General features: G+C 47.2%; 2 annotated features.

The window, feature by feature from the left end:
* Positions 14423-14923: an enhancer, noted in NCBI's record as "H3K4me1 hESC enhancer chr3:126983520-126984020 (GRCh37/hg19 assembly coordinates)". NCBI's record gives its function as "activates a minimal SCP1, AML or CMV promoter by ChIP-STARR-seq in naive H9 embryonic stem cells {active_cell/tissue: H9 hESC(naive)}" and the evidence as "EXISTENCE:reporter gene assay evidence [ECO:0000049][PMID:30033119]".
* Positions 14924-15424: an enhancer, noted in NCBI's record as "H3K4me1 hESC enhancer chr3:126984021-126984521 (GRCh37/hg19 assembly coordinates)". NCBI's record gives its function as "activates a minimal SCP1, AML or CMV promoter by ChIP-STARR-seq in naive H9 embryonic stem cells {active_cell/tissue: H9 hESC(naive)}" and the evidence as "EXISTENCE:reporter gene assay evidence [ECO:0000049][PMID:30033119]".

Raw genomic sequence — 23841 nt, forward strand, 5'->3', positions numbered from 1 at the left:
GATTTTCTGACGTGTCCTATACTTCTCTCTTTCCTAAACAATAAGTCATTTTTCTTTAGGGCAAAAATTTACCCTAAGGAAAATAAGTTTCTTTTTTATACAAAATCATTTTCTTTCCATTATAACTTTTCTTACCAAAAATACATCTTCATATCCACAACTTTCTTCACATCTCTCTCCTACTTACCATTTTTTCTACCTTCTTTTATAAATAACTTTTAAATAACCTCCAAATTACATAAAATTATCTTTTCAATAAGAACACAGCTTGTGGAATGATATATTAATTAGAATTTTCGTTCTTTGTAACCTTGCATTTTAGTGAAAACCTAGGAAGCAAGAAATCCTGAACTGTTTGTCAGATGTTAGCATTTTACAGAATAAACAAACCATTCCATAATTTTTGGAACATGTTTTCCCATACTATAATTTTTTTTATTGGAAATGACCCAAACCTTCAATGAGCAGCTATTATTTAATTCAAGTATACAAAAGTCTACTTGCAAGCATTTATCTCATTTACAAATACTCAAATTTTGCATTTTTAACAGTTTAGGTTACTTCTGAAAACTGAGATATTAGACAAAACTAGTCATTATTTCAAGTTATTTTATTGTTAGCCATTTAAAAAGTCTGAATAACAGGTGAACACTTAAGAACCTTAAACACATTTTGCTGATAACTCAAAAGATTCACTGTTTGCCTTGAACCAAGAATCTTAATTAGTCTTATTTATCAAAAAAAAATCGCAAAAACAAAGATCATTCTGTTTCTGGATGGCTTTATAGTCCTATAACCTTTATGTCAAACCATGATACCTTAATATATAGACAGAGACAAATATAAAACCATTTGGTCAATAAACTCACATGAAAATTTATGCTGACAATTCTGAAGACATTTCTATTTTTATCAGTGATTTTAAAACCAGGTGTATTTACTAAAGATTCACATGAACTTGAAAAGCATTTGGAGTTAATTTATGAGTAGTCATTTACTTATAAACCAATTTGGTAGAATGCTAGATACAACATATAACATAATACATGTACCTATATACAAATATATCCAAACACCTATACATATATGCACAAACAAGAATCCAATAGCTGTTACCTGGGAACTCTAGCCATAAGATAACAATACATACTTACCACCTGATAAAAGATAGCTGGGTCCAAATTATCTTTCTGATGAAACTCGAACTTGGTCATATGGCTAAACCTCATTTGCCCTGATCTAAGAAACTGTGAACCAAAATTTGGATAAAGCAGTCTCTACAGCAATTTTGTTCTAAAAACCTTGTTTACCTTTTTATTCATTCAGTTTCAAATGATTTTGTAATGTTTCCATTTTAGCCATAGTGGATAAACTTTATAAGAAAAACAAAATCTCCAAGTAACCTTCAAATAGTAAGCTTCATTTCAGTAGCAGTAGCTTCGTAACAGCACATTGAAAGCAGCCAGCACATTCAAAGCAGGCAGAGAGAAGTAGACAGAGAGCTTTAGAAGACTCTGCTTACCTTTATAGTTCCATGTTAACCATTTGAGCTCTGGATTTTCTTTACTGTCATTTGCCTATCAGTGTAAAATGTGCACAGAAACTGGCCATAATATGTAACCAGCTCAAGTCCCAGATAGTCTAGAAAAGAGTTCACATGCTTTCTCCCCCTACAAAGCTTGACACAGATACAGGAAGTACACTAGAGTCCCAAAGACGATGACAAAATCCAGGGCTGGGATGTTGGAAACTGTTTCTCCCCTAGGGAGGAGAGCAGCAACCCATCTTGCTACTTTCTGACTTAGTCTTGGCTGGTGGGATGGAGACCATGCCAAAGCACCCTCAAAGAGAGGGGTAACAATAAACAGAGACACAAACACAGATGCAGATGCAGACAGGGGACTCCAAACTGCTCCCTGAAGAAGGGAGGCTGGGGAAAAGTCCTGAGATCTTGTCTCAAACCCAGATGGCACCACAGATGACCTGTGTTGGGTCCAGACTTCACAGAGGTCCAAAAGGCACCACAGACTAACCTGTGTTAGGTCTAGATGGCACAGAGGCCAAGATGGCAGCACAGACGACCAATACTGCTGTAGATAGCTGGAGAGCCCAGAGGCCAGAGACAGAGGATTTCCAGGTGCACTCTAGTTGACTTACCCAGTCCTTGAAGTCTGTCGACTTCCCAGATGCTGCTTCCCTTGAGACAGAGGGACAGCAGCTGATGCCAAGAAGAGGAGGGAAGGGAAGATCCTTGAGATAAAGGTGGTTTCAGCAGCTGCTGGGAATTCCCTAAAGTCCCAGTGGCAGGGTCAGCTGGCCACGAGCAGCTGGCATTTGCAAGTAACCCCTGCCCTTTCTGGTAATATAAGTGGGTGAGCCCTGGCACTGCCACAGCCAATTGCTCCACTAGTTGGAAGCCAGATGTACAGGCTGAGCCGCTCAAAACACACAGCTCCTTACATGAGGCACTGAGTTTATAAATGGCTCATGTCCAGCTGTTCACCACCCAGAAGTCAAAGCATGAGAAGTGTGGTGGAAGGAAAGCAGCTTTTACTGGTCAAATGCTAGCAGATGGAAGAATGGCTGGGCTCAAGCCTCAAAAGAACCATCTCTGCCTTCTGGTCAGAGTGAGGGGTTTAAGAAGGAAAAGGTGTGGAGATATGTAGGAGGGTGCAGGGCTGCATGTCTGTTCCTATGGTTATCTTGAGTAATTGCCTATTTGGGGGTCCAGTTTGCATCATCCTGGTGACCTCAGCACCATAGTGGTGGGCTCACTCTTCCTAACCCTACTAAGCAGGAAGATTCTGCACCTGGTCCACTCTGCCTGGTTTGTTTCCAAATTGGCCCCTGGAATTTCTAAGCAAGCACATAATTAGATAAGTGAACATTGTTCATGAAAGTGCCTGGTGGAAAGGGAGGCGTTTCAAAGTGTTTCAAGGCCAAAAGCAAGAAAGGGGAAAAATTTTAAATACTTTTGAGGCTGGGATGCTCAGTTACACTCCTGCCCTCTCCCCAAAGGACATCATTCTATTATGTACAAAGGAATGTCTTTTTGTGCATTCTGCGGGCATGTGTTTTTAGTTTATGTAAACTTTAAAACCATTTTGCTCAGATCTCAAAACAAACAATTGAGTTTCTAAGTGGAATTGTATTAAATGCATTTGTGAGTTTGGGGAGGATTAAGTGTATGATATCAGGCCTTCCCAGCCTGTGTCTTGTGTCTCTCTAGTCTTTCGCCAGGCAGGTGAATTCTCAATGGAAATCTCACAAGTTCCCCATGACCTGGTCTCACGAGTCTGAGCAACAGCCTTTGCAGCGGGACCGGGTGCCCCTCCATCTTCCATACATTTGGTCCATCTTGCCGGTGCCCTTGTCTCCCGACTTGTCCAGGCCAGCCCCAACTCCCGATGATTAAATTCTCTCTCATCTAGCCTTTTCACTGTCCTATCATCCCTGCCCTGGCCCACTCTCCTCAGCCCTGGAGATGTTGTAGAACTGGAAAATTGGTCACTCCTTGGGCTTAAATACCGTCAATGGCTTCCCAGGGCTCTCAGGGCCCAAGTCCTGCTCCTTTCCCCAGCCCATCCCTTCTCAACCCTGCTGGTGCCCACCAGACCTGCCCAGCACAGTCCAGCCTCAGGTTCAAGGGCTCAGCCTCCTTTTTTCCTCAGGGTCTCTGCACAGGCTGTTCCCTGCCCTTCCCTGACCCACTTCCATAACCCAGCTCCCACCCCAGGATCCTATCCCACCCCACCTCTTTGGTGAACTCAGCCCTCCCCACTCCATCTGCACCAGTCACCTGGAAGCAGGAGGCACAAGCCGGGCCCCCTCAGCAGCCCTCGCACAGATCTGCTTTGTTCTCTGAGCACAGAAGAGAGAACACGTTATTACCCAGCTGGAACACACACACCACTGCGTGAGCTCCAGAGCAGCTCCTGGTATGTGGGGGCAGGGGCTGGAGACACTGCTGAAAAGGGGTGAGGACAGGCTGGATCCCAGACACCAGGACCTGCCCCCACGTGGACCTTCCTGGGTTAGGGCTCTTACAGCCCCCTTGGCATCTCCAAGGGGGGAATTCTCAAAGGAACATCGACCCCCTGCTTCTCCTATTCTTTCTGCTTCTTCAGTCACTCAGTCACAGCTGCCCTCCGCTCACTTCCTTCCCTGCAGGCTCTGTGTCCAGGACAATGACAGCCATCCTTTTCCCTCAGCTCCTCTGCACGGTAGACATACAGCCCAGCTGCAGATTCAAGGCAAGCTGGGCTCCTGGGAATCCAAAGCCTCACTGACCCAGCTCAGAGGATGGCAAAGCTCGTCTGACAATAATCATACCGTGACATTGTAGGGAATGACAGTGCTAGCAATGATGATCTTAATTATTATTAATAATATTATCATAATCATTATTAATATTAGTAATAATAGTTTGCTTCTTGTGCCATGCCCTGGTTTTTGTTTTTGTCTTTTCTTAAAAAAAAAATCTTTATTCAAGGTTTTAATTATAAAAGCAGTGCACGCTTATGGACGAAGTAGACAGAAGTATATGAAGTGAAATGGAAACATGTCCCTTCCTGTGGCCTGTACCCAGAAGAGCCCACGCTTCCCCAGCAGGTGGGGCTCTGTCATCCAGGCTTCAGATGAGCTGCATGGAGATGAGGTTACACTCCAAAGGCCCCCACTAGAAGTGGGTGCAGCCGCAGTTTGCAGCGGGTTGGCTGAGTCTCACCAGCACCACAGGCCCAGCTGGAAGGTTTGCTTGTTGCCCTGCCCCTCAGGCATCTCCTGAGCATGCCAGGAACCTCCGTCATATCCAGGCGAGCCCAGGGTTCCCACACAGCCTTTCCCTCGGTACAGTTTACAATTAGCTACGAACTGGGGAGGACACAACCATGGCTTAACTGAATCATGGCCTGGCCCAACTTCATGTTAGAAATGAAGACACTGGGCCGGGCATGGTGGCTCATGCCTGTAATTCCAGCACTTTGGGAGGCTGAGGTGGGTGGATCACGAGGTCAGGAGATTGAGACCATCCTGGCCAACATGGTGAAACCCTGTCTCTACTAAAAATACAAAAATTAGCTGGGTGTGGTGGCACATGGTTGTAATCCCAGCTACTTGGGAGGCTGAGGCAGGAGAATCACTTGAACCCGGGAGGCGGAGGTTGCAGTGAGCCGAGATCACACCACTGCACTCCAACCTGGCAACAGAGCAAGACTCCGTCTCACAAAAAAAAAAAAAAAAAAAAAAAAAAGAAAAGAAAGAAAAAAAAAGAAAAAGAAATGGAGACACTGAATCCTTCCAGAGGGGAGCAGCTGCTGTCCCACCCACCAGGTGACAGAAGTGGCTACCTTGAGAGAGTCAGCTGCTGGGTCCCCATGGCTGGCTGGCTTCTGAGAGCCCCAGGACTGGGCTGAGTTCTCCTGGTGGGATGTGGGAGGAAACAAGGGACCTATGGCTGGAACAGTCCTTCTGCTGGGGCACAGGGCCTCAGGCCCACCTACTGGGGCCCCCTCCACATCAGCTTGGCTTCCCCTAGTGTGTCGACCTCCTTCCTTCTTCTTCGATTCCCGGTGAGAAGGGCTGGACTTCCCCCGGGGAAGGCTGTCCAATCACCTCCCCTGGATCCAGGATTCATAGCAGCTCTTCTGCCTAATCCAAATCCAGTCCTGCTCTTCCCACCCTCTCCCCACCACTAACTCTTTTCTGATGGGACTGAAAATTTCATTTGCCACCTCCTTCCTTACAACAGGGCATCCTCCCTGCCCTGTCTCCTGGGACTCTCTCCTCACAGGCACACCCTGGCAAGACAAGGGCCTCTGAGCCCCTCACCTGGGCATGGATCTGATGGGGCCAGGGGATGTGTGCACCTCAGAGGCACCGCTCTCTCCTTCCCCGTACAGCTCCACAAACCAGCTCGCACTACAAAGCCCCTGCCCCTGGAGTTAATTCAAAAGCCCCCGACCTCAGTAAATTTCCTTTTTCAGTTAATTCATCTTGGAAAAGGAAGCAGAATAGCAGGGCCAAGGGAAATAGACATCTTGAATTTGAGAGCAGTTTCCAAGTGGCTCTCCCTTCCAATTTAGTCCCGCTAGCCACCCATGGGCATGTGCTTTCCCCAGGGCCTGGAGCCCCACCTGCTGAACCCTGGAATCTGCCAATCTGACAAACAAAGATAACATCACCCTCTAACTTTGATTTGAGTTTCTTCAATTATTCTTGAAGTTAACAGCTTTCCATGTGTCTATCGGCCTTTGTGAGTCTTCTCCTGGCTTGGCTCTACATAGTCTATGTTTTTATTTTGCTTTTCTGTTTCCAGTTTTTCTTTTGATGCTTTTTTTTTTTTTTTTGGCATGCAGATGTTTAAACTTTTTTTTTTTTTGTCATCACATCAATTTTTCTTCAGTGGTTCTGCCTTTGGTGACATTGCAAAAAAGCCTTCCCATCATGCACAGTCCTTTTCTTTTTCAAGTTGTTTGTTTCTGAATAGTTTTGCAAAAAGATTCATCCCACTACGTTCCGAATCTGAAGCAGGTTCACATTTCCTAGGCGCTCAGATGTGCAAAGGGTAATTCTGTTCTCTGATTCCTGAACTGAGTCTGTGTGCTCAGCCCTGTTCTGGTGGGTGGGGCGGCTTGTTCCTGTCACATGGCAGTGGGTTTGGCCACCTCGGGGTTTCCACAGTCCACAGCCTATGGAAGATCCAGCCAGCATTCATTCTTCATGCTATCCTCTCCTTCTCCTTCCATCCTCCTGCAGAGCCCTGCCCCGCCTCCTCCCTGGCCACCCTGCCCTTAGGGGGTTTGCCCTTGTTAACAGCCCTGCCCTTTGCCTCAACTCGACCCATCCCTAAGCGTCTGTTTGCCAGATCACTCCCATGAGCCCCCGATTCCAACCCTTCTGATAACCAATGGGGGTTAGACCTGGGCCTGCCAGCCTTTCTGTGCCCTCTCCTTCCCTACGTGGATTCACCATCCACCACAATACCCCCTCCCTTTGCCCCAGCTCTGCTCCTTTCCCCTCTCCCCACTGCACACCTGTACGGTGTCCCCCCTCAACACCCCTACCTCCCCAATCCCTCCCACCTGGGTTGAGGGTTGCTGAGCAGGGCAGTCCCCTCTGGTCCTTGCCCTTTCCTGGGTCCCAGGTCCAGTCCCTGTGCTGCCACCTACAAAACATTGATGCAGTTCGTCCTGGTCTGTGAGTGAGCCTGTCTAAGCCTTGGTTTCCTCACCTGGCATTTGGGCAGAGTAACCCCAGCTCAGGGAAGCTGAGACAACTCAAGTAAGCAGAAGCGCTCCCAGAACATGCCTACGTGGGAGGTGGAAGGTGCTAGAACTTCCCCAAGATTCTCCTGGCCCTTGACAGCTGGCTCCCCCGCTGAGCAGGCCTTTGTTCCTCCTGAGCAGGTCTCTGTTCCTCCTCGTTTTCTCACCTCTGTTCTCTCCACAGAAAGCTGGGTGTGTTCCCTGGAGTGGAGATGCCATTTGGAACCAGGTCACTTTGCAGAAGTCTGTTTGGGCAGGGCACAGGCCGGTGCACAGAACCGGCCCTCCTCAGGGCTCCAGACTTCCACAAAGACTCAGGCCTCTGGTCCTGCCCCATCAGCCCCCAGCCTCCAGCTGTCAGGGCAGTAGGCTCTGAGCGGGTGGTGGGGGACCAGCTCCAGGGCCTTCTGTCTTAGGGGCTGTAATAAGGAATTGCTGTGGCTCCTCTCCTTGCCATGCGGGAGACATACCATGTGCGGCGTCCCTCCGACCCAGGCCTGGAATTCCCTTTAGGAGGCCAGCCTCTGGGTATTATTCAGCCTGGGACCTCCCTCCCCAGCCCACCCCCAGGCCCTGAGCTTGTCCAGTGTCAGATAACCCGCTCTAGCCCAGCACTCTCACATCTGCCCAATCCCTAATCCCGACCCCAAATCCAGGCCTGCTCCCTCACCCCCTGCAAAGTTTGTTGTTTGGGGTTGATGAAGCCCCCAGCCAAACTCCCACTAACACTCAAGAATGGAGGTTCTAATGAAGACCCAATCAATGTGAGTCCCCCCAGAGTTTTGAAAAAGATGTGTCCTGACGTACAAAGTCCTGGTTCACCGCCCCTAGTAGGAGAGAAGGACACACAGGGCTCAGAGAGTGAGCTCACCCCCTTAACCCCATGCCTTCCACATGCTGTCCCCTCACCCTGGAATGCCTTTCTTGTTTCTACTACATCCAGCCTAATCCAGCCATCTAGAATCTGCTTAGAAATTCCCTCTAGGAAACCTGCCTGCATCTCTCCTTGTCTTGCTTACTGAGAGGCCTGTCCTGTCCCCCGAGGGCCTCTTGTCCACCTCTCATGTGGACATGGAACATCAGTATTTCATTCTATATAAGTCACCCATCTCTTCAGTCATCCTGGGATTAAATGAGAGACTCAAATAAATAAGAGGATGCTTGCATTGTTTATGAGCTTACCCATGACCTTATGTGAAACTGGCTTGGTAGATGTTCACCACATTCAGAGGGCACATTTGTGATAGTGTGAGTTAAAATATAGGCCATGAGTCTCCTAGAAGACCCATTCAACAGGGCCCCCGGTACACACCCCCAGTGCTACTGAACCTCAAGCTTAGTGACTGCTGTCAGAACAGTGCTGGCTGTATTGGCAGGGAGTGGAGAGCTGACCACAGATGTTGGTTTGAAGTCAAAACTGCAGGACATGCAGACTCATCTCAGCGGTGACAGAGCCAGCAACTCCAGGATGGAGGCTTTTAGTGAGCTCAGATTCCAGTCAATAAGTGTTAGCTGTTATTCCTGCTTTGGGGGTTTTCAGGGTCCTGTAGGGACAAGGGAGAAATGTATGGCTCTTTGGGTCTGTCAAGACTCAATACTCTATTCCTCTTCTCTGTTCTTATTTGCTCCAATGGCAAATTTTCCTGAGCACCTACTATGTGCAGGTTCTGAGCTGGTCTTGGGGTCCAGAAAGCCTGTGCATTGTCAGTGAGGAAGGCACAGAAGGGGCCCCTCTTGAGGGGCTGACCCTTGGGACCCAGTATCATCAGGGGTCCACTGGGGATGGGAAACAGGAGGTGAGGGGAAGGCCCAGACGCAGCGGCCATGTGAGGCCAGCAGCCCTGCTCCAGCTCCTGGTCTGTCGGTGATCTCTGGGAAACATCTTCTCTGAAAAACATCCCACGTTCTGCTGGTAAACACTGAACTCAGACCCTCCCTCACTGCCTGCGGCTCCTCCTGTCTCCCCAGACTTGGCTGAAGCCGTGTCTCCCATTGGTCATGCACGTGGAGAGACCGGGGAGAGTCAGCCTCTGTCCTTCAGCCTCACCTCTCCCATCCAGCCCCGCAGCAAGTCTCCTTGGACAGCTCTCAAAACATATCTCCTTTCTGTTTCATTTCCCTGTGTGGGGTGCATACATGGAGGAGTGACGAGGACCTAGTGACCACTGGGCTTTGAAGAGGTCATCATGCACACCATCGTCTCTCGTCTCCGGAACAAATATAGGAGGCACTGGTCTTTAAAGTGGGGAGGTAAAACAGTTATTATTTGTCAATGAATCATGGCAGAGACAGCTAATTGTCTGCTGATATCCCTTCCCTCCTTCTTCCGTAGTGATCAAATCTTGTGTTTAGCATGGCCACCTGGAGGAAAATAACATTTCCCCACTCACAGCTATGTGTGGCCGTGTGGCAGCTTCCCAGAAACCTCCTTAAAGTCATGCTCCACCCTTTTCCTCCTCTTTCTTCTCCTCGGTGCTGCAGCCCAGAGCTTACTTGACGGCTGCAGCTGCCCACCTTGCACTATGCAGGCAAGGGCCACATCCTGGAGGGGAGGACAATGAGCTTGAAGGAACATGGGGATATCATGGAGAGCCCGCTGTGCTGACCTTGGGCCACTCCTTTGGGCTTTTGTGTAAGTCATTCACATTTTGGGTCTGTCTAGTTGCTGCCTAATCTAATTCTTATACAGATAATTAAGTGATAAGCTAATCATAATTGATTGAAGGTCTTCAGTTAAGTGGCTGAACACAATAGCAATATACTCAAAATCAATTGTTTTCCTATAGAACGTAGATCACCAGTTAGATGATATCTTTGAAGAAGACCACATTTATGTTTGCTATAGAAGTAGAACAAAAATGGGACAGAACATGATGAGTGACATTACAAGCCATGGAGCCAATTCCCATCCTGCGCGATGGGCTTGGAACAAGGTGCCATCTCCTCTCCCATGCTAAATCCACAAAGCGGTTTTTCAAAAATGTGAAAACAATCTAACAAATACACAGTCTAAAACAAGAACAGCCACATTCGGTGGGCCAATGTGTGAATTCCTTGAAAATAAGAGAGGAGCTGGGTCAGATTAAAGAGGAAAACCACCCCCTGGGTGGGCAGGGCCTGGGACGTTCGCAGTGAAGATACAGCCGCTGAGAGGGCCATGGAGGAAAATGATGGATCAGACTAATGGAAAGGCTTTACCCAAAGAGCCAGCTTTAACAGAGCAACCAGAGCAGGAATTATTTTATGAAATTGGAAATTGCTATCCTCAGAGATAAGGAAGGATATCACTGTCTAAATAAGAATTAGCAGTTATATATTAAAGAACTAATTAGAGATTTTAGAAATTTAAAAATATGATTATTGAAAAAAGGGGGAGGCTCATTCATAGGCACAGTGGCACAGGGGGCAGGGGAGCAAAGCTGTCCCTGGTAGCAGGCAGACGCGGCATCCTGGGAAAGGCCTGGCCAACTGCCTCTACCCTGCCTTTGGTCTTGTGCTCTGGATCAGTCAGGGAATTTGTTGGCCTGCAACAGAAGGCAGCTCTGGCAGAGGGAGGCAGAACAGGGGTTTGGTGAAATTCTTGGAGTGGTGGCCGGGCCTGGGAAGCAGGATGGCCCAGTCAGCATCTCCCTGAGATCTGGGAGGACAGGTCCTCACCCCACACTTTCTCATAGGGAAGTATTCCTCTTCTGGACAAAGCAATTCCTGCTGCCTCCCTCTCTCGGCCTAGGATGTGGAAGGAGTGAATAACCCCTCCTGCTCCTCCCTGCTCTTGCTGGCTTCTTCCCAGTGATAGAAACATGCCCAAGCCCTGCTCTGTGGAAACACCATCCTGCCTCCTTCCCCTGTGACTTTCAGGGCTCCCTCTCCTCCTGGCAGCCATCAGTGTGAAGCATCAGCTGTGCCTACTGAGGATGCCACCACCCTCTCAGCCTGCTCTGACCTCCCTCTCCAGAGCTGGCAGCTGAGGGTGTGTTGGGAGTCCAGCCTAACCTGTCGTGGTGACTCCTGGAGACCCGCACAGAGGAAAAAGCCCACATGGGTCCCAGAACTCACTGTCCAGATATGCCACACGTTAGATCTGCCTGACTTAACAGACTATTTTGCATACACAAGAGGGATCGCCAAGGCACAGTATGCAAGTTTTAATCTGATAGACTTGGCTTCCCCATAGGTTATGCCAATTGATGTCATCCCCTCAACACATGAGTATGTATAGAGAGCAGCATCCACTCTTTTTACACTTTGCACACCAAGATGGTGAAAGTCTCAGGCCAACACTCTTTCCATTGGCCTTTTATTATTAGTGCAGTGGAACAGGCCGTCATGTGTTTAGTGGTTATGTTTTCCTATTATTCTGTGCATACAAGTTCAAGATTTTAATGTCTTCCCAGTGAATTGTTCCTTTTGTTAACATGCACTGACAGTGGCTAACCCTAATAGGACTTTGTCGGCTCACAGTCAGCTGTGTATGGCATAAACACAGTTACACATGCGGCAGGTTCTCTAGGGTTGCAGCTCAGACCTCGTGGCTCTTAGAGCCCACCCCCCCGCAAGTGGTTGATTCCAAGGTACATCCAGCTAGAACCTGGGTCCCCGCCAGCTCTGACCTCTGCTGCCAAGGTCGTTTGTGCACTACCCTGTACATTCTGTGTATGGTGGCTCATGCTGCATGGATATGAGGCAGGAGAAACAGAAGATGCACAGAGGCCAGGCTAGACCAGCCTGATTCCCATCTTTCCCCAGATCTCACAGCCGAGGAGCTGAAGCTGTCCCCAACCACTGAGAGGTGGGCCTCCCCAAGGCCACTGCTAGGCGCTGAGCCCTCGCAGTCTTTAAGTAAATGTGTGCTGATCCACAGGAAGGGCCCCATCCCTTCCTTGCTCACCCCAATTCCAGCCACCCATGCTTCCCTCCCTGCTCTCCCCTCCTCAGTCTGGGTGGCCTTCACATGCAGCACTGTCCTGTCTGTGCATCTCTTCTCAGTCTACCCTCTCATCATTAGGATGCTCATATAATTAACAAATTACAGTGTCCATGCCTCACATACTCTGTGCAGGGTGGAGCATTTTGAAAGCATTGCTCATGTGAGTTGCACCTTTGGAGATGAGTTTTATCCCTGTTTACAAATAAGGCAACTGAGACCCAAATGGTAAGTTGCCAAAGTCCCTGTACGCAGCTTGGAAAGGAACATCCCCTTCTGGGATTCTGGCTCAGGCCCCTCTAGGTGTGATGTGACCTCCGCAACCCCTGCCTCTCAACTCATGGGCCCTCTCCAAAAGGGGACCCCCCCAGCTGAGGGACACAGGAAAAGACTTCATGTGTGTTCGCACCCCTAGAGAACTGTTTGCATGTGTGTGTGTGTGTGTGTGTGTGTGTGCATGTGTGTACAGGCTGGGGGGCTTAAACAACAGGTTCATTTGTCACAGGTCTGGAGGCCGAAAGTCCAAGATCAAGTTGCTGACAGGGACAGTGTCTGGCAAGGTCTCTCCCCTTGGCTTGCAGATGGCCACCTTCTCACTGTGTGCTCACAGGGCATCTTCTTTGTGCATGTGTGGGGACAGCATGCTCCCTGGTGTCTCTTCTTATGGGGACACTGATCCTCTCACCTCAGGGCCCCACCCTTAAGGCCTCATTTAACCTTCATTACTTCCTTAGAAGCCACACTGGGGGTGAGGGCTCCAACGTGCGGATTTAGGGGGACACCATTCTGTGTGCATGTTTGGAGCAGGAAGACCTGTTTGGCATTCCCGGGGTCACATCCAGCAGGTGGCCATGCCTGCCCAAACACCAAGAGAGTTCTTGGTTCCCATGAGAGCAGTAAGTTTCAGGGCCAGGTGGCAGAGGCATTTAAACAGTGTCCGGCTGCCACCTGGCCAGGGCAGGCAGGATGTGGGTCACCTGGCATCAGGCCTTGTGCTGTGGGTCTAATGTCCCTTTGGCCTCTGGGAACCCTGGGGGCTCTGCTGCCCACCTGCACTAGGCTCCTGCCTCAGTATCCCTGTCCAGACCTCTAGGTTGCAATGGCCAGCATGTGGCTGTGGCCCTGTCTCCCACCTGGTCCAGGTGCAGTGACCTGGAAGCCCTGACCTGTTGAGGTCCAGCTGCCCACCCCCCACCCAGCACACCTGGCATGAGCCCCCCATCCCTGGCCTCTGGCTCTGCCCCAGGCGCCCAGACACAGCCATGTGCCCTCCACAGCTGTGTGTCTCCAAGCCCTGCACCTCTCTGAACCCTGCTTTCTCCACCAGCAACATGGGAGTGACCCCTTCAGCCCCACAGAATTGTGCCAGAGCCAGAGTGCCTGGGACTGCACGGCCTTTGCTTCCTCTCCTTACCCGATGGACTCCAACCCCAGGTCCCCCCCTCACCTCCAGTGAAGGTTCCCAGGGGCCACTGGGTTTCTGCTTTGTGGCAGCAGCAGCAGGGCAGCCCTGGACAAGGGGAGGGCGCCTGCCAAGGAAGCCAGAGTTGGCTGGAGCGGGTGCTGCCGAGGGAACTCACCACTCCGGCCAGGCAATTATTTTTAATGAGTCCAACTCTCCTGCAGGCTGTGAGGCCCGGGGCAGACAAGCCACAGCTACAGGAAAGCAGACTGCCAGGGCTTCCCAGCAAACAGGTCAGCTCCATTGGACTGCACCCACTCCGACCTCTTCTGGCATTTAAAAAGGACATTTTACAGGACTGTTATTCAGGAAGAAGCAGCATCAACTGCCACAGGTGAAAAAGAGAAAGGAGCTCTAAAAACAATATGAATACCAGGACAACAAAGACAAGATCTGGGCAGGGTGGGCATCGCCCAGGCAGCTCATGGGGCTGAAGTCTGGCTGCTGGGACTTGGAACCTTAGAGCTGGGTGCCTCAGAGTAGCACCTCCATCCCATTGGCTCTGAGCCCACCCTTTCCTCCCTCTTTCTTTAAACAGAGTGACTCACAACTGTGAGGAAGGCGGGACCACACAGCAGTGGCCCGGAGCCCTTCTCTGAGATGTGGCAAAAAAGAACTTTCTCCTAAAGAGGGATGCACTGTTCCCTAATGCAGACCTGTGACCTGCCTAACCTTGTCCCGAGTATCCTCAGAGGCTCCAGCCTGCACGGATGAGACAGTGTGAGCAGCCCAGGAAGCCAATTTGGAGGGGAGTTATGTGTGGGAGCTGGGCTTTGAGGAATGAAGAGGGTTTCCAGTTAGGCTCCAGAAAGGAGGAGGTATAGGAGCTGGGCTTTGAGGAAAGAAGAGAGTTTCCAGGTAGGCTCCAGAAAGGAGGAGGTATAGGAGCTGGGCTTTGAGGAAAGAAGAAGGTTTCCATGTAGGCTCCAGAAAGGAGGAGGTATGGGAGCTGGGCTTTGAGGGTTTCCACTTTGGGGCAGGGAAGCGTCCTGCTGGGGAGAGCAGCAGGGGCATAAGCATAGGAGAGAAGGAGGGGAAAGTGGGCATTCTCCTTGGAGCCCCACGGGGGCCTCGGGCCCTAGCCACGTTGCATGGGTGGTGGGAGCTACGGCTCCACAGGAAGGGCATCCACCCCAAGAACATCCCCCTTGGGTGCAGCCTGAGCAGACTGACTTTGTCTTAGTGGCCCCTGGAGAGGCCCTAGGGATGGCGGGTACAGGGATGAGGCTGGAGCTGCAACTCAGTGGCAGAGGGAGCGGCAGGGCCAGGGCACAGAGGGAGGGGCAGGATGGACTCCTTAGGTCCCCCTGTTCCTCCAGCTCCAAGTCTTTCCTGCTCCAGGATCAGCCCTAGGGCCCCCTGGACAGTCCTGCTGTCAGCCAGCTTCCCATCAGATTGGCCTTCATTGCCTCACGCTATGCTCCTTTCAGCACCTTCCTTCGCAGTTGGGGCCACAGGGGAGGCTGGGTGGAGCAGAAGGGCCAGGACAAGGGTCTGGGAGGAGTGCAGCTTTCTGAAGGCAGCTGGCCACCTGTTGACTCTTGATCCCAGCTCCACACGACACTTGACTCAGCCACAGACCGACTCCTGAACCCAGGCACATACTGACCCCTACTCCTGACTACACCTTGACTTCGACACCAGCCATATATTAGCTTCTGGCAGCCATGGTCTTAACCCTTGGCCTCAGCCCACCTTGACCTTTTAACCAACCATACTGACCCCTGGCACTAGGCAGACCCCGATGGCCAACCCTGGCCCCACACCAAGCCACACTCTGATCATTGCCTGAACTTGGCCTTGCTGTAGCCTTGGGCTGACCCCAGCTATGTATGCCACAGCCAGACACTCTTCTCAGAGGGCCCAGGGCAGGCCCAAGTTCTGGCAGGAGGAGCAGGCACAGCAGGGTAAGGAGCCGGGGGATGCAGCTCCCCGAGTGCTGGCTTCAGTGCGGCGCCAGGCACAGTGAGAGGCACTTGGCAGCTTGTCTCGGAAGCAGGAGTGGCTGTGCCCATTGCACAGAATGCTTCTCACTATCAAGTTGCCAGGTGACCTTGGGCCAGCAGCGTGTTCTCTCTGGAGTTCTATGTGCTCAAGAGTGAAAACTGGAGTCTCATGAATTCTAAAGACTCTTACAAGAAAACGAGTGCTAGGGCAGCTTGCGGGGCACGGAGCAATTGAGATGATGCATTTAAGGTGCTCAGCACAAAGCCAAGTACACCATAAGTGTTCAATAAATGTGGGTTATTAATGTTACTATTAATAATCCAGCCTGCCCACTTCACCGAGCAGACAGGGACAGGCAGCTTAAGAGTGCAGGAAGGGGCTGCCCGTGGGCAGGAGGACGTTTTAATGAGAGGAAGCGGTAGCGGCAGCCGGGAGAAGGCAGGCAGGGCCCTGCACAGGAACGGGAAATAACACTGCCTTCCCAAGTGCCAGAGCAGGGCCCACCCTGGGGCAGAGGATGATGCTTAAGACAAAGAGAGGGTTTCCCTCCTGCCCTAAAGTTGGCACCATCATAGTAGCTGTCGGTGGGGACAAGGAGGCCGGGCACTGCTGTGTTTAGCAATGAGCTGAGTACATGATCAGCCCAGGGCAGGGCCAGGATGCAGGCCCAGGTCTGTAGGACCATGAAGACCATGCCCATGCCAGGACGATGTCAGCAGATAGGGAGGCTAGTGGGGGAGAGGAGAGAACAGAGTGCTGGGAGAGGGAACAAGCTCTCCCTTGCTGGTCCCTGGCCCTGAGTGGGGTCAGTGAAGGGCCTGTAGCTGTCTCCCAGCCACCTCCCACAGCCCCTTGTGGCAGAGACTAATGGCATTCCCACCTTCCCACATGTGAGATTTCACTCCGCAGCAGGAACTACCTGCCCCTCCCTGTTCCTGCTTTCCAGTTATCCCTTCAACCCACTGGCCTCAGTTTGGGCTGCTGAAAAAAAAGAAAAAAAGGTAACCTCACTCAGGATTCTTGTGAGAACTGCTTGTGGCCAATATTTACAGATGCCAGGCAACATGTTAAGCATCTTCTCCTTTCATTGGTGCCTTCTGTCAGTCTTTTCCAAGGAGTGGTAGAGCAGGTGAGTTCACATTACATGGACACAAGTCAGGGCTTAAGTAATAGACTAGAGTGTAAGGGGTCTATTTCACCCTGGTCTATGCAGGGTGCGTGCCTCAGTGAGATCCTCTAGGGAGGGGGCCGTGGAGAAAGAAGGGGTGGATAATCTAGCAGGCTGGGCTTGAGAAGTTCCTTTGTAGACACTTCAAGACGAACGAGAATTAAAGGCTTTGGGGCTAGGGAGAGGTTTGCTATTCTATGTATTTTAGAAAGCATTATTCAACCAAACGGTGGGGAAGAAATTGGGAGAGGCAAAGTGATGGCAAGGAGACAAGTTGGAGGGATGTAGCTTTGACCCAGGAGGAAGGTGCTGGCGCCTGATGCAGGGAAGGTGTGGTGAATTCACAGTAGGAAGAGGGAGAAGTGGACACCTTTAAGATCTCTTTTGGAAGTAGACTATATGGGATGTTGGTGACTAAAGAGAGGGAATGGGGGCAATGGCAAGGTTTCTGGGTGGGTGGGGGAGGAACTGTAAATAAAAACTCTTTTTCTGCTCACAATACTTCTGACACCAAATAAATATGTGGGTTTTTCACAGCAAGCAATTCTCCAATTTTCTGCAGACATCAACTGGGTGTCTGATATTGTTTGGCTCTGCGTCCCCACCCAAATCTCATGTTGAATTATAATCTCCAGTGTTGTGGGGGGTACCTGGTGGGAGGCAATTGGATCATGGGAGCAGATTTCCCCACTGCTGTTCTTGTGATAGTGAGTGAGTGCCCACAAGATCTGGTTGTTTAAAAGTGTGTAGCCCTTCCCCATTCAAGCTATCCTGCTCCACCATGGTAAGGCATGCTTGCTTCCCCTTCACCTTCCACCATGATTGTAAGTTTCCTGAGGCTTCCCAACCATGCTTCCTGTACAGCCTGTGGAACTGTGGGTGAATTAAACCTCTTTTCCTCATAAATTAACCAGTCTCAGGTGGTTCTTTATAGAAATGTGAGTACAGACTAATACAGTGTCCTACCATGTAATTTCATTCTGACACTGACTACTGGAAGTTAGTGCAGACCCACCAGGTGAAGGGCTCAGTCCCATAATCCTGCTCCTATTTCAGATATCCATTGCAAGTCACCCAACTAGGCTGCAAATTGGAGATTTCCATGACTCCCTCCTCAGGTTCAATAATTTGCTAGGATGGTTCACAGAACTCTGAAACGCTTTACTTACTATTACCTATGAAGGATAGAAATGAACATCCAGAGGAAGAGGTACATAGGGCTAGGCTGAGAAGAGTCCCAAGCACAGGAGCTTCTGTCCCCTTGGAGTCTGGGGTGCACCATGCTCCTGTCATATGGATGCATTCACTAACCTGGAAGCTCTTTGAACTCCATTTAGGGTTTTTGCGGAGGTTCCATTACATAGACATAATTGATTAGATCACTGGTCACTCATGATTAAGTCAATCTCTAGTCTTCTCTCCTTGGAGATCTGGGGGTGGGGCTGAAAGTTCCAACCTTCTAATCACAGCCTTGGTTCCCCTGGCAACCAGTCCCTCTCCATCCTGAGGCTATTCACGTTGTTAGCATAAACTCAAATACGGTTGAAAGTGGCTTGCTATGAATAACAAGAGACACTCCTATCACCTCTATCACTTAGGAAACTACAAGGTCCTAGAAGCTCTGTGGCAGGAACTGGGGACACAAAACAAAATAACAAAAGCTCCTAACCTTAGGAGCTCAGTGTCAGGAACTGAGGTCAAAGCCCAAATATTATACTTATCACACGTTGACAGATACAGAGAATGCTGCAGGAACAGCAGCACTGTGGGAACAATAATGCACTTGTCTTTGAACATGGTGAACAATGTGATGTCCAAAGGAAGTCTTGAGTCGTCCATAAGATACACGACTTGGGGCCACGGGGACCACTGGATGAAAGCAGCTTGAGGAGTCATCATCCTCATTGGAGGGATGCACATGAACGAGATTGCCAGGGAAAATCCCACCAGGGGCTGCTGGCAAAGAGGACTCTTTAAAATCAGGCAGCCTCTTTAAAATCAGGCAAAAAATAAGCATGCTCAAAGCTGCCACTTTGACTTGGTAATATATTAGAGATCCTAGACAGTGAAATAAGACAAGAAAAAGAAAATTGAATACATATGGATTGGAAAGGAAAAACTGAAGCAGTCATCTTTTGTTTTTTTGCAGATTTTATGATTTTATTTTTAGAAAATCAAAAACAATTTGGACACAAAGTACTAGCAATATTAGGAGAGCTTAGACATGTAGCTGAATATAAGATCCATATGCAAAAGTCAGTTGCATTTCTGTACAGCATCAAGACACTGACAAATGTTTTACCACTTTGTAGCAACAAAAATTACAAATGTAATTGGAAATAAGTCTAACAAAAGTTGTAAAGGACTGTAAAAAGGAATTTGTAAAATTTCCCTGACGCATCTATCATGTCCCACTTAAATATGCCCCATTTATTTTTACAGACCTAGATAAATGAAGAGATAGCCCATGTTTATCAATTGGAAGACTTGTTATTATAATATAATCTCCTCAAATTTATGCAATGGTTTAACACCACTCCAATAAAAACAGAATCTTCTACAGAACTTGACAGTTTGCTACTAAAATTAAAATCAAAGAACAAAAGGCCAAGAATATCTGAGACAATTCTAAAGAAGAAAGGCAGGCTACTCTGTCAGGTTTGATTTATTATAGTTTTAGTAAAGAATACTGTGTAGTATTAGCGCGGGAGTAAACAAATTGGCCAATGGAACAAATAGAGCATCCCCAAGCAGATCCATGCACCTATGTATGACATAGGTTGTCAAATTGAATGGCAAACCAGTGGAGAAAGAAGTGACTTTTCAACAAATACACCTGGAATAATTGGCTACCCATATGAAAAAATTAAATTATGTTTCCACCTCACACTATACCTGCACACTGAAATCCACACCAGATAGATTAAGAACTATGTCAAAGCAAATGTCAAAAGCAAAATTTAAAAATCTTTAGAAGAAAATATAGGTAAGAATTTCGATCTCAAGATAGGAAAGGATTTCTTAAAGTACAAAAAGTGCTAACATAAAAGAAAAAGACTGATGTATTTGAAAACACTGTGATTAAGAACTTCTGTAAATAGAAAGACAATTAAGATCAAGTAAAAAGGTAAGTCAAGGTGTGAAAATATGCTTAAAAAACATATTTCTGACAAAGAATCTGTATCAAGGTGAAACAGAAAACATCTCAAGTCAGTAAGAACAAGAAGGAAAAAACTCAATGGGCAAAAATTAAAACAGCTGCTGCACAGAACAGACAATGTCTGCAGATCCCAAGTGCTACCAGTGATTCATATACGTAGGTACAAACCCCGGGATTCTATTTTACTGGCAAAACCAAAGATGTTTGATGACACTGAGTGTTTAAGAGAATATGTATCAACAGGATCTCTCAAACATGGCCAACAGGAATGTAATTTGGGATCATCACTTCAGTGTAATCTTATACATTTCAGCATTTGCAAGCACTGCAATCCAGCAGTTTTACTCCTTGATATATACCCAAGAAAAAAATGTGCACAAGTCCACCAGAAATTATCTACCAAAACGATTGTGGCAGCACTGTTCATAATGGAAAAGAAACTGGAAACAACCAAAGCCCATCTATAGGAGAATAGACAAGCAAATTGAGGTGTATTCAGATATTGGATATTATATAGCAATGAAAATTAATGACCTATAGCTACACCTGTAATCAATGAATCTTAAAACACACGAGTGAGAAGCTGCCTTGGCGGTGGATCAGCAGTCCTAGCCACCTGGCTGGTGCTGTGTGAGCAGAGATGAACTGCCCAGCAGAGCCTTCCCTCAGTTCCTTCCCTATAGAACTATGAGTGGAATAGAGCAGTGCTTCTGAGACACTAAGTTTTGGGGCAGTTGTTGCACAGCACTAGGTAACCAGAACTTTATATGATTTTTACCCTGCACAAAAACATCCATTTATATTTTTCCTCTTACATTTGTATTCCATTCCTCCAATAAAGCAGTTTGGCACTCCCTGACCCTGCCACAAAATAAAGCCAGAGCCCTGAAATACTTGGAGCATACAGTTTATGCCATAAGCAATAAGCATTAAAGATTAAGTGTGAACAAAAAGAAGTACTAAGCAGCACTTAGGAGGTTGGGTTCTATTTTATTAAGAGTTATTGTTCCCAATTTCTCACTGTGCTTAATTTATAAATTAAAGTTTACCATAGGTATGCATGAACAGGAAAAATCACATTATAGACAGGCTTTGTCCTGTCCACAGTTTCAGGTATCCAGTGAAGGTCTTGGAACGCATCCCTGTGGGTAAAGGGCTCCACTGTAATATGTTTTGTTCTTTTCTAAATTGGCTGTTACAGGGTGTCATTTAGTTTTTATTTCTAATTTATAAGCCTTCTTTCATTCCTTTAATCATTTTGAATATTCTTGTTTAATAACTTCTCTCAGATTGTTTAATTAACTAAACTTTTCAGGAAACAAATCTTTCCTGAACCAGTAAAATGTCAATCCTGATGGGATAGTTTCTTTATGGGTGTCCGTGTGTGTGCATGTCTGGTTGATTCTAAGCAAGCTTTGTATTTACTGTGGGAATTTTATGGTGGCTAGGTTGTTAAAGCACCCTTGCATTGTGGCTTTATTTGGGTTTATACTAAGTGCTGAGGGTGGGTGTTCCAGGAACCCACCCTGTGTCAGCTTCTTGGCCTATGGTCCCCACATCAAGAGGCAAAGTTAAAACCAGACTCCAGGTCCTCAGGAGGTGAGGCCCAGGGTTTCAGTTTCTCACTGAAGACTGTCTTCTACATATGAACTTCTCATAGAGAAACTTCAGAACACTAAAGACAAAAAGAAATTATAAAAGAACCCAGAGAGGGACAAAAGTTTGCCTCCAAAGAACAAATCTTGAACTATCAAGAAGTTTCTGAACAGCAGCAACTGTGGCTTAAAACAACAGAAAAATATCTTCAAAGTACTGAAAGAAAATAGACGCCAAACTAGAATTTTATATCCAGCCAAATAATTATTCAAGAATGACAGTGAAACAAAGACATTTTCAGATAGGCTGAAAGAGTTTATCGCTAAAAGTTCTTTGCTAAAAATCTCTAGAGTGTACTTCAGGAAGGGAGAAATTGAGCTCCAAACAAAAGAGTAATGCATGAAAAGACAGCAAATGAATTGGCAGAACACAGATGTATAGTGAAATAAGTATTGACAGTAAATATCAATGGTATTAATAAGGATTATGTTGGTGATGATGAAATGAAACTAAAATATTACATAATAATACCATGTAAAATGGAAAAGATTATCAGAGTAAACATATTCTAAGGTCTTTATAGCATTCAAGAGAAGGTAGAGCTTCACTAACTGTTGACTTCATTGAGTCAAGTATGTATGTTAAAAAATAAGAGTAATCATTAAAAGAATAGAGGTGTTGGATTGAACCATATGAAATTGCTGATATCTGACTAATTTTGACCAACATAATGGCAATTTCATATGGTTCAGCCTAATACACTGGAGAACTCTGAAACCAGAAAAGGTGAAATGCAGAAAGAAAAAAAATTCAATCATACCAGTGGAAGGTAGGAAAGATAGTGGGAGAGGCACAAAGGAAAACCATGGTAAATGCCCCCAAAGGAGATGACAGAAGTAAATGCGAGTACTAAACCCTCAAATTAAAGACAAACCCTCAGGTGAGATAAAGCTAAATTTTTAAGTGTGCTAATTATAGGAACCACACTCACAACAAATTAGTCCAAACTTTAGTAATGAAAGGATGAAAAAAATAAATTAAGTAATTGCTAATAAATTTTGAACACAACTATAGCTATGTTAATATAAATCTATTGTAAACTTTAAAAAGTATTTAAGCATATAAGTTTTTAAAAAAGTACTGTTGGGAAAAAAGATAGTATATAAAGATAACACGAAAACTTCACTAGGAATTTACCAGAAAGATATAAAAAATTGAACTTGTGTGCCTCAACAATTAACCTTTAAATTACTAAACAGCAAAAATTGGAACAAAAAAATAAGGAAAAATGAACAAATTCCTACTCATAGTGGGAGATTATAGTATTTGTCTCTCAGAAATTGATAGATAAGAAAAATAACAAGAAGTTAATTAAGGATATAGAACACATAAATGCTTCAAGTAAAACCTTGATATAATGTATGCATATGTGCATCACAGTACAAACGTATAGAGTACTTAGCACCCACAACAAGGGGGCACAGACTCATTCCAAACACTTCACTTCATGGTCTCATTTAATTAATAGCACTTGCTGGGGAAATGATGTTATTATTGCCATTTTAAAGTTAGTGATGTGGTGGACTAAGCATGAGAGGGGAATTCCAGAAAGAACAAGAATGGACAAGGATCATTAGATGAGTTGCTCAATATCACTGCTCATCAGGGAAATGCAAAATCATATATAAATTTAGAAGTATAGCTGTACCAAGCATTGACAAAGGACAGGGGATGTGTAAACTGCTGCTGGCTGGGGGCCAGTGGGCATGGCCCGCCTGGAAGGGCAGTTGGGAGGTACTTAGAAAAGTTGAAGATGCACTTGTGTTACTATCTAGAAACTCAACTTTTAGGTACCCACTCTAGAGAGATTCCCATTCATGTGCACCCGGAAGACATGTGGGATGGTGTTTGTTGCCACATTGTTTGGGACTAAAATTTAAAAAAGGAAAAATGTTGCTGTTGGTAAGGCTGGAATACTTACACTTTCTTCAATTCATAAAATGGAATTTTTCAGCATGAAATAATATCAAAGATATAATGTTGACCAAAATAAAGCAAGGTACCAAAGTGATGGCAGCAGCAGGCTGCTCCAGACAGCCTGCCACTGCCATCATGCCAACTGCAGCACTGAGGCATGGCAGGGGATGCACACTCCATGGAGCCGGCAAGAGCCAGAGACAAGTGGGAGCTCCACCCCTTCTGAGTTGGGGCAGGAGTTCCCTGGGTGCTGCTGCAGCTGCCCAACCTGTGGCTGCAGACCCAGGCCTTCTACTCCATGGAACAGGCAGGAGCCCCACCCTCCCAGGCAGGGCTGCACAC

Source organism: Homo sapiens, chromosome 3 (genome assembly GCF_000001405.40).
Source record: "Homo sapiens chromosome 3, GRCh38.p14 Primary Assembly".
NCBI lineage: Eukaryota > Metazoa > Chordata > Mammalia > Primates > Hominidae > Homo > Homo sapiens.